Source organism: Homo sapiens, chromosome 5 (genome assembly GCF_000001405.40).
Source record: "Homo sapiens chromosome 5, GRCh38.p14 Primary Assembly".
Taxonomy (NCBI): Eukaryota; Metazoa; Chordata; class Mammalia; order Primates; family Hominidae; genus Homo; species Homo sapiens.
The window spans coordinates 165,805,138-165,816,752 of record NC_000005.10 but is presented as its reverse complement, the minus strand read 5'-3'; the positions used below and the strand labels follow the sequence as shown (position 1 = coordinate 165,816,752).

At 36.2% G+C, this 11,615-nt stretch overlaps 1 annotated feature.

Annotated features, from left to right (window-relative positions):
* Nucleotides 597-1,796: an enhancer, noted in NCBI's record as "MED14-independent group 3 enhancer chr5:165241962-165243161 (GRCh37/hg19 assembly coordinates)". NCBI's record gives its function as "activates an origin of replication core promoter dependent on BRD2, BRD4, P300/CBP and CDK7 cofactors, and independent of MED14, by STARR-seq in HCT116 cells {active_cell/tissue: HCT116}" and the evidence as "EXISTENCE:reporter gene assay evidence [ECO:0000049][PMID:35650434]".

The window sequence follows — 11,615 nt, the reverse complement described above, 5'->3', positions numbered from 1 at the left end:
CTGTGTTCAGAGTGGTTTTGATGCAAATCTTATAATGTCAATTCTTAATGGCTTCCCATTTCTTTTAGAATAAGGCCCAAAGTCTTTAATGTGGCCTTCTCAGATGCAGCAAGACGTCCTCCCACTCCTTTTTTTCTAAAACCTCATTTCAGATGACCCTTTAATCCTCACTTTCTGAGTTCCCACCATACTAAACTTCATTTCAGTTCCTCAACTCATCATATGATTTTCCTGCTTCAAAGTCTTTACACATTTTCTTCCTTATTGCTGGAATGCTCTCCACCTCTCTCACCACCATCACTTGGTCAACAAGATGAGATTCTCATTCAGGTTTCAGCTTCAAGTACCACTTAGAAAAATTGTCTCTGACCTACAGGCCCATAACTGGTCTTCTTATTGTATGATCCCATGTCTTTCTATACTTCTTCATAGTACTTATAGTAATTATAATTAATGGTTTATAAAATGATTTAATATATATTATGCTGGGCTGAAAACTCCAAGAAAGTAAGACCCTGTGAGCAAAGGTGAACTTACCATGAAACTAATGAAACTCCAGCTGCAAGGCTCTTACTTGCATGTGTCTCAGCAACTCTTGGGAAGAACTGTAGTAGTGGTTTCACACAGTCCTAGGTTTTTGTAAAATTTGAACAAGTAAGAAATTTTAACCAAAATCAGCTAAGATGACTGTCTGTTTTCACTCTAACTTCCTCTCTCTCATTCTTATAGTTAAATGGTATAGTATTGGAGTGGCCAAGAGCATGCTGGGAGTGCAACTGAGCAGAAGTTGTATTGAGGATACATTTAGGTTTGGCTTAATGGAATTTACTTGTATGGTTTGCTGTCACTCCATTACAGTTAAGTTATTCCTAACTCTCCCTGTGAAAAATGGCTTCCCTTAATACCCCTGCAGAGTGCTGTGTCATTGTGACTTGAAAGTGCATGGCTAGATGTTGTATGCTGAAATAAATACATCCTACACTCCCTGGCATCTGAAGTATGATGTGGGTGGTGGCAAAGGAACAAGGTATGAAAGTAAAAAAAAAAAAAATTAAAAAGCAGAGGGTAACCTATGGAAAATTCTTCCAAAGAAAGGCTTTCCTCATCTCTAAATACTTAGAGTGTTTGGTAACACTTTAAATTGGTATTGCCAATAACAACTTGTGTTGCTAAAATAAACTTTTTAACTCAGTAAGAAAAAAGAATCAATTATCTCCATTAGATGAAAAAAATTACTTACACTCCTATAGAAAAACAATTATAAAATTTGTGTTATACAAAGAGGCACTCAAGCAGTTTTAGTAAAAACATGTATCTAGGAAGAATATTACAGGTACAAAATATAAAATGTTAATTTTTGATTTTTTAATGTAATGGTGGTGGTAATGGTCAGACTTATAACTGTATAATTTATAATTTCTTTTCTCCTTCTAAATAATGTTACTTTTTTTAGCCTTGATTTTGTATTCATTTTCTTAAAGAGGATTTCCCATATTGTACAATTTTCTTTCTTTTTTTTTTTTTTTTTTTTTTTTTTGAGACAGGGTCTTTCTCTGTCACCTGGGCTGGAGTGCAGTCATATGACCAGGGCTCACTTGACCTCCCGTGCTCAAATGATTCTCCCACCTCGGCTTCCTGAGCGGCTGGGACTACAGGCATGTATTGTACAGTTTTCAAGCTCTACAAAATCTGGTTTTTCTCTCTGCATCATCATTTAGTGCTGCATTTAGAAGCACAAAATATAATGCCTGTCAATGGTAGATACTACATAAGTATTTATGAACAAATGGCAATTTGATATTATAGTTCATTTATTATATAAAGTAAATCTGTGGTCATTGATTTTTCTTTAATATATATCTACTGGTTTGACAGAATTATTCTTTCCAGTTCTAGTTACTGATTGGGTCAAAAAAAGAAAGTGAATTTTTAAGTATTTATTGAATACTTTTACAGACAAGAAACTCATACTTAAGGCATTTATTCTTGGTCAGAGCTTGTAAGTATTAAAAAATTGGATCACAATCCAGAATTTCCCATTAATTTTCATCCATATTAATAGATGCTGACCATACTGAGAGTTTTGCAAGCCCCAAATATGCTACACATTTTTAATTCTTAATGAGTTCATCCTCTATCTTTGAACAATGTTACTTTGTTCCATATGTTTATGAGTAAAATGATCAATTTTTGTTCTTTACAAATAACCTTAAAATTATGGTATAAATACTGTCTTAGAAAAAGCTCAAGGCTAGGGATGGTGGCTCATGCCTCTAATCCCAGGAATTTGGGAGACCAAGGTGGGACAATCACTTGAGCTCAGGAGTTAGAAACCAGCCAGGGCAACATCGTGAGACCTCACCTTTACAAAATTTTAAAAATTAGCCAGGCATGGTAGTGTATGCCTATAGTTCCAGCTACTCGGGAGGCTGAAGCAGGAAGATCACTTGAGGCCAAGAAATTGAGGCTGCAGTGTGCTATGAAAGAGTACATTTTTCTCCTGCATTTTACATAATGCATTTTCTTCTGCATATTACATAAAATATTCCATGTTTTTAATATATATGTTGGAAAGAAAATATGCTTAATTGTAGATTGTTTGTTTGCATATATTTTTTAAAAATTATAAGTGGGTGAGTTTGTGAGAATATTTTGTTAGTAATCATATAAACTTAAAGACATTTTAGTTATTTGTTTTGTGAATGCTATTTGCATTAATTAGGACTATACAGGAAGATATCAGCCGTAAAGAAAATTACATATAAATGATAACATGCTAATAAATACCAGATACTTCTAGAAGAGAATGATCAGGATTCCTAACTATTATCATTGTTAGTATTTCAATCCTCAAAGTATTAAATAATAATTAGTTCTGTTTTCCACCAAAGGTCCCATTCCAAGCATGGAATTACTTTCTAGAGCCATCAGAAATGTGAGCACAGGGTCTATAATTTTAGTTTTCATAGGGAATATATTCTCAATTTTTTTCACCTGCTCCACAGTCAGCCAACATTCAAGAATGCCGATTATAAAAGAGCAGGCATTGTTGCATTCATGTTGATCACCCTTTTCTCAGATTTTAAAATGATTATTTGATAACCAGCAAGTGGTTTACTGTATAAGGAGCCACTCTAGTCACATCTCTCCATTAAAAGCTCATGTCTCAGCAAATTATAATTGCATGTTCTCCCCTTCTATTCCCAAATTTCTAGAAATCATAATTGTAGAAGAACTATATGGACTTTTTATTGGTGGTTTGTATTAGTCAATTACCAGATAATTTGTAGGAAACACTTATGAAGGAGGTGATTCTGAGTCCTGCATTCAAATAGAAGAAGAAATCTCATGTAAATCTTGAACTGAGAGGATTGACTCGATGTTAATACATCACAAATAAGATTAGCTGAATGAGCCAAGTACCACAGTTTTTTTAACTGTGCGAATTTCCATCCTTATTTTTCAGGAAATTATTGAGTAAACTATATTACATCTTCAGCTTTCTATAATTATAGTATTACTCTTATGCACTTCTGAGTTCCACAGCAATTTATTTCTCTAAATGATTTGTAAATGTACTGTAATGCTAACTAGAGATGTTCAGAAAAGATGGTTCCTCTCATAGATTTCTAAAACGAAGATTCGACTCCTGTAAAATCAAAGCCAGTCTTTTAAGCAAATAGAGTGAGAAGACAGCAACCTGGGTAAATTTGAGGACTAACAGATGGCTCCTGTTTTACAGATATTCTCATTACTGAGTTCTACTTTTTTTTTTTTTTTTTTTTTTTTAATGAGACAGAGTTTCGCTCTGCAACCCAGGCTGGAGTGCAGTGATGCGATCTCAGCTCACTGCAACCTCTGACTCCCTGGTTCAAGCGATTCTCCTGCCTCAGCCTACTGAGTAGCTGGGACTACAGGCGCGTGCCACCACGCCAGGCTAATTTTCTGCATTTTTAGTAGAGACAGGGTTTCACTGTGTTAGCCAGGACGGTCTCGATCTCCTGACCTCGTGATCTGCCTGCCCTGGCCTCCCCGGTGAACCACCACACTCGGCCAGAATTCCGCATTTTTATTATTAGATTCTCTTTCCCAAAATGAGTTGGAAGACCAATTGGCAAGAGAAGACAACCATGGTTTATCCCTAGAAATCTATGCTGCAAAATGTGACCTGGGCCCTGAAAAAACATGGGCAGGAGAAGTTTATTACTTTAATACTTCGGTGTGTGTGTGTGTGTGTGTGTGTGTGTGTGTGTGTATATATATAAAATTTAATTTTCAGATTGGCTAGTAATAACATTGGAAAAAAGAGATGAAATTATAACAGCAGGAAATAAAGAACAGAAAATTTTGGCTTGTTTCCCCAAACATTTCTTCCACATCATCAAGACTAGGAAGATGAGAGGATAGAAAAGAAAGGTCTAGAGCCATGCTACCTGGGAGAAGAACGGCCATAAATGAACTGTATCTGCGCTACAATTATACTTAAAACACTTCCAGACGGCCGCAGTGGCTCACACCTGTAATCCCAGCACTTTGGGAGGCCAAGGTGGGCAGATCACGAGGTCAAGAGATCGAGACCATCCTGGCCAACATGGTGAAACCCCGTCTCTACTAAAAATACAAAAATTAGCCAAGCGTGGTGGCGATCGCCTGTTATCCCAGCTACTCAGGAGGCTGAGGCAGGAGAATCGCTTGAACCAGGGAGTCAGAGGTTGCAGTGAGCCGAGATCACGCCACTGTACTCCAGCCTGGTGACAGAGCGAGACTCTGTCTCAAAAAATAAATAAATAAAATAAAATATAAACAACAACAACAACAACAAATACTTCCTAGCTTGAGATGGCAAAGGTAATGGATATTGGGGGAAAAAAAGTACAGAAGATCTCTATAGCAACGCAAAGAGAACAACAAACAAAAGAAAAATATGGTTTTCGACTTATAGAAGTAGTTCATGCATATTCATGTTCCTTTAAGACTTCCAAATGAGTAAATAACAGGCAGTTTTATAGCAATTACTAGATTCCAATATTTATAGAAAACTGACCACCACGAATACATAATTATTCTATTATGTCCACCCTAATGAATGGAAAGACTATTTATTCATTTACCATGACACAATATAAAAATCTTGTTTGCTTCCTTGCCATGCAGAAGTAAATTCAAACACTTGGTAAGAAAATATGTGGACAGAATATCTATTTTAAAGAAATTCTATTTGTATGAGATTAATATACAGAATTTGGATACAAACATGCGGGAATGTATTATTTACTTCAGCAATAATAAAGCCAGATTTGACTTAAAATAGATGAAAGTGGATACATTTATTCCTCTCATGAACTTCACTTTGAGAATCTGGGTGTTTGGCAATGTTCACTTATGCTTTTATATGAGTAATTACATATTTAATTGTGTCACTGTTTATTCTTGATGGAATGACAGGGAACATTATGAGTACTACTTTGAATAGTAGTAAGGAAATTTTAGCAAAATCTATATAAAATTATTTCACTAAGTTAGAGAAAAAGTAATGGAATCATCATTTTCATGTGTTACTTCAAAATTAAAATAGATGGATATTTGTCAAAACAAAAACAGAGGCCTAATTTAAAAATGTACTTTTGGGACTTTTTTTTCCACATAAGTGTTCCAGTTATTGATATCCCATGTGGTAGAATTGGCCAATGGAGATGATAGAGCACTACATAAAACAATTCTTTTTTTTTTTTTTTTTTTTTTTTTTGAGATGGAGTCTTGCTCTCTCCTCCAGGCTGGAGTGCAGTGGCCCGATCTCGGCTCACTGCAACCTCCGACTTTCGGCTTCATGCCATTCTCCTGCCTCAGCCTCCTGAGTAGCTGGGACTGCAGGCGCCCGCCACCACACCGGGCTAATTTTTTAATATTTTTGATAGAGACGTGGTTTCACCGTGTTAGCCAGGATGGTCTCGATCTCCTGACCTCCTCGTGATATGCCCGCCTCGGCCTCCCAAAGTGCTGGGATTACAGGCTTGAGCCACTGCGCCCGGCCCTTGTTTTTTTGTTTTTTTGTTTTTTTGTTTTGAGTATGTCAACAACTAACTACTAACACCCCACTTGCTGTGCGCATGCCACCATTGGTAGAGTGTTTTTTGTTTTCTTTTTGAGACAGAGTCTTGCTCTGTAGCCCAGGCTGGAGTGCAGTGGCACGATCTCAGCTCACTGCAACCTCTGCCTCCCGGGTTCAAGCGATTCTCCTGCCACAGCCTCCAGAGTAGCTGGGACTATAGGCTCTTGCCACCACGCCCAGCTAATTTTTTATATTTTTAGTAGTGGTGGGGTTTCACCGCGTTAGCCAGGATGGTCTCGATCTTCTGACCTCGTGATCTGCCTGCCTCAGCCTCCCAAAGCGTTGGGATTACAGGAGTGAGCCACCATGACCAGCTGGTAGAGTTTTATGTGTATTAATTCATTTAAATATATGATGCAGGCTTTATGATTACATTCATGTTACAGATCAGGAAACTGAGTCACAAAGAGGTTCAAAGGTTATCTGAAACCACACAGCTAAACAGAAATTCACTCTGCAGCAATATGGTTTCAAGTCTGAGTGCTTTCACGATGCTATAGCAGTTCTCACTTTTCACCACAGCACAGATTCAATGGACTACTGGTTAAGCAGAGGAGGGAAATGGAACTGTAAGTGGCACATAAAACAGAGTGGTTCCAAATGGGAAATATAGATTAATGACAACGTCTAAGCCTTCAACTTTCTAATAAGATAATTTTGCATTGTCTCTCTTAAATCCTATCGTAATGTTTGGTTAAATGAAATTATTAATAGTATTATTAGCTTCATATTTTATATTAGTAATCTGAGGCTTAAAAATGTTGGTCAACTTGCCCAAGCTTACACAGAGGGCAAGTGCTAGAGCTCAGGATTAAAACAGTGGTTTAACTCTGGTGGATACTCCTAATCACTAGGCTTAGTACCTTTTTGCAAATCATTTCATCTTTGTAATCCTTGTTCACTCATCAACGGTGGAAAAATATTCATTTAGATTATCTCAGAATTTCAGGCTAATACTTCGATGGTTACAAATGCCATGTGTTCAATGACCATATGGAGCAGTTAGTTTTGTGGAGGCCTTGCAATGCCATGCCCTTGCTTACAAGGTAGAGGTGTGCAGGTGGATTTACAAATAAAATTCATTTCTGCCAGAATGCCAACTTGAAATGTTCACCCCCATGAGGATAGTGCATACAAACTGACAGCCAAAAACATTAAATCATGAAGTAGAGGTTTTAAAAATCTCATATCCATTTCTTGAAATACAAAATACTGACCCTCTGAAAATTTAATTTATCTAAACATATCTAAAATCTCATTGATGTTTGATTTTATTAGAGATAGCAGTGACCTACAAGACTAGAATTCAACCAAGGTTTTGATATTTATTTGGTGATTTTAAATCTTAAAGATTTTGACCAAATAAATTAACTTTGTGTTAAGTACTTTCATTTTTCTGCCTCTCATCTTAGCTTTTATAATTCTATATAAAGTTTTGAGGGTTGGTGGGGGGAGGTCAAAAATAAGGAAATATTCCTGCATAGTATGGTCAGTTAAGAATAAGTACTCGTTTTTCATTGTTGCAAAGCTAATACCAAATGTGTTGAACTCCTTAGGGAATAAAAACTGCATAAAAGCAAGGGCTATTATATCTATAAGCACATAATTTACCTTATAAATGTGAGCACACATATATTTGCCATCCTATGGGAATGAATGAGAACAAGTACACTAGGGAATTTTGTTTCATTTCAGCAGAAAACTAGAATATGGCAATGTATTAAAATTATTCATTGCAGAAATAAGTCTCTAAATACGACTAGTAATGCATATAGTCCTTACATTCAACATTGAAGAAAATGTTTTCACTATGCATATTCTTTGATAAATGTTGCCAAAAGTTTCAATTATTTGTATCACATACAGCAAAGTTGGTGAATGGAGATTTTAGAAATACTGACTACAAGAGTTCACACACTGCTCTTTAAATAATTTATTTATTTACTTACTTATCCATTCTATAAATTTCTCTACCTAAGCATGCTTGCAGACAACCTCAGACTTTCTTAATACTTCATTGTTTCTTTTACGTTTAAATCCCATAAAGCTGTATCGTCATTTATCTCATTCCTAGAGTATCAGTCAGAATTGCAGATTCAAATATTGTTAAGTTGCATAAAGTAAGGAGAGTCATGTTCCTTGTTGTTTACCCAATATGAACATGTATAATCTTACAAATGAAAGTAAATACAATGTAATGTTCAGTAATGTTTGATAATATGTGATTCTCGGATTGGCAATCCTAGTGATTCACTACATTTTTTGCCAACAGAAAATAAATTGTTCTTGAGAAGGAAAAATAAAAATGAAGGAATTTAGCCCTGTCTTCTATAAGCCTATGAGTTAGAAACAGAAGCAAAAATATATTAGCATTAGTAACAGTACGTAAAATGTAATGAGGGCTTATTAAATACTAAGGCTTATGCTAAGACTTATGTGCATACTAACATTTACACCTTATAGCAAACCAATAAGTTATTCACTCTTATTTAGAAAAATAATTTTACCCTCCCCCCCCAAAAAAAAAAACTGAAGTAAATTAGGCAACTTATCCAGGGTCACATGTCTTTTAACCAAAGAGTTGTAATTCAAACTAAAATCTGTTATTAATATTTTTTATTTTAGTTAATAACCATGCATGAGAATTTAATAACCATTTTAATTGACTACTAAGCGTTTAGAACCATGCTGGGAGCTACAGTGAGTATAAAAAAGTAATAGATCCTAGTTATTGCTCTTTGACCATGATATAGTTATTTTAAAATGTTTAATGATATGATAATATGACTAAGTTTAAAACTGAGTGATAAATTAATAAGTATTATATAACTATTTTTAAAAATAGTACATGCAGCATAGCGGCTTACTAAATGAGAATAGAGTTATAAGTGGCCTTATAGAAGTCTCATGTTAAAAACGTATTAGCAGTATATTAGAAGAAACAGAAAAATTTTAAACTGCATATCCTCATTTCAGTGTTGGCAATCATCTAAACACAGGATACATTTAAATGACAATAACTTCTCTAGTCAATTAATAGAATATATCTAATAAGCAAGCATTCTTCTGATACAGATATGTTAGAGTAACTCATCTGCCATCTATTCTCTGTCTCAAAACAAGGCTACATATTACGGAAGATCACATGTGGGTGCCTAAGAGCTATCTGTAATTAATTTAATTGTTGTTTTCTTAATTCAGTATGGCATGTCAAAATGTTTAGCAATGGAATTCCAGGGTTTATGTGAGGATAATGACAATAGCAAAGTGTCTAGAACAGAAACTTGGCTGAGGGGTGGAAGCTCTGTGAAGAAATAGGTCCCCCCGATTTAGCACCTTTCTTAAAAAGAATAAAAATAAACAAATCAATTAATTTAAAAACTTTTTAAAAAGGAGAGCAGAATAGCTTAAAGACCATGATAAAATAACATATTAAAAGAGGAAGTATAAAAAAACAAAACTGGCCAGGTGCAGTGGCTCACGCCTGTATTCTCAGCACTCTGGGAGGCAGAAGCAGGTGGATCACCTGAGGTCAGGAGTTCGAGACCATTCTGCCCAACATGGCGATACCCTGTTTCTACTAAAAACACAAAAATTTAGCCAGGCATGGTGGTGGGTGCCTGCAATGCAAGCTGCTCAGGGGGCTGAGGCAGGAGAATTGCTTGAACTTGGGAGGCGGAGGTTGCAGTGAGCCAAGATCACACCATCGCTCTTCAGCCTGGATGACAGAGCAAGACTCTGTCTAAACAAAACAAAACAAAACAAAAAACTATGTGACACATAGAGGAGGGAATGAAATTATATGTCTGTGATTGGAGCATGGGAAAGTAAAGTATGAAAGACGCATGTGATAGAATACTTTGCAGAACATAGATGCAGAAATCTAACGTGCACAAAATAGGCATCTATCTAAAAAGACAACGCTGATTAAAACAATAAATAGAAAGAGGTTTAAAACAGAAAGCACCCTATAAAACATAAATATGTGAAGAGAAAGCGACATCCACTTATTACTTATATGCTTACCAACTATGTGCCAGGCATGGTTTAAGGTGTTTGATACATTGGTTGGGGGTTAGGGAGTGAATGAAACCCAATGAAACAAAGCTCCCTGCCCTCATTAATAGTACAATGTGTCTGAGAAGAGACAGATTATAAACAATAATCAAACAGACAACTAATTAGTGATAAATGTTATTTAAAAATTAAATAGGGTAGAGAGAGGGTGAGCATACTAGGAGGAGCTTACATACAATTAAATTGTGTTATTGGGAGTGGAGACAGAGCAAGATGGCTAAATACAAGACTTCACCAGTCATTCTCACTGTAGGAACACCAAATTGAACAAAACACCTTCTTAAGAACCAAAAATCAGGTGAGCAGTCATAATAACTCTTGCCACTCTATCATAGGGGAAAGCAACACAAAGAGAACTCAGCCGGCAGCCATGGAGGGAACATATAGTCCAGCCCTAGCCAGAGGGAAATTGTCCATCCCTGCAGCTGGAACTTCCGTTTCAGCAAGCCTCACCACCATGGGCTACAGTGCTCTGGGATTCTAAATAAAATTGAAAAGCAATCTAGACCACAAGGATTGCAATTCCTGGGCAAGTCCTCATGCTGTACTGGGCTTGGAACCAATGAACTAGTGAGACACCAGCTGGCTCAACCAAGAAAGTGATAGCACCACCTCTCAAAAATCACAGGCACCACAGCTCACGGCTCCAGGAAAGATTCTTCTCTGCACGAGAAGAGGAGAGGGCGGAGTAAAGAGGACTTTGTCTTGCAACTTGGATAACAGCTCAGCCACAGTAGGATAGGAAACTGGGTAAAGTCCTGAGATGCCCATTCTACACCATAGCTCTCAGATGACATTTCAAGACACACTCTGTACCATAAGGGAACCCATTGCCTTGAGGGGAAGAAACCAGTACATCTGAAATGTACTTTGAGTGTCCTGCGTTTTTTCAGGCAAGCATATACTCTAGCTTTTTCCCCTGTTCCATCTTTAATTCTCTTAAATGTCACCTAGTCCCTCTCCACATTTTCTTCTCTGGTATGTTGAGAGGATGTTGCCACTGATGGAAACAAACTTTGAAAAACTGTTTTTGGAGCTTAGAAAACTTTTGTAAAAGCCTCATTTTAAGTTAGGCTTGACAGTGATTTCGTTCATGGGGATAAAAAATACCAATTAAATTCAAATGTGAGCTGAGTTGAAGGGGCATAAAATGTTGTTAAAGCTGTAGGGCACAAGTTTACTTAGGTAGTAAATTTTCTTGGAGCGAGTTAAGAACATTATCACAAATTTTGTTCCCAATTGAAATAAAAGAAATTTTAAAAACAACAACACAAATAAATTTTGGAGGGTGTTTACTGATAATCTGGTAGAACAGCACTGTTCAACAGAAAAATAATGCACACCACATTTGTAATTAAGTTTGCTAATCACATGAACAAAAATAGGTAAAATAGTTGTATTTATATTATTTAATTCAATTTATCCAAAA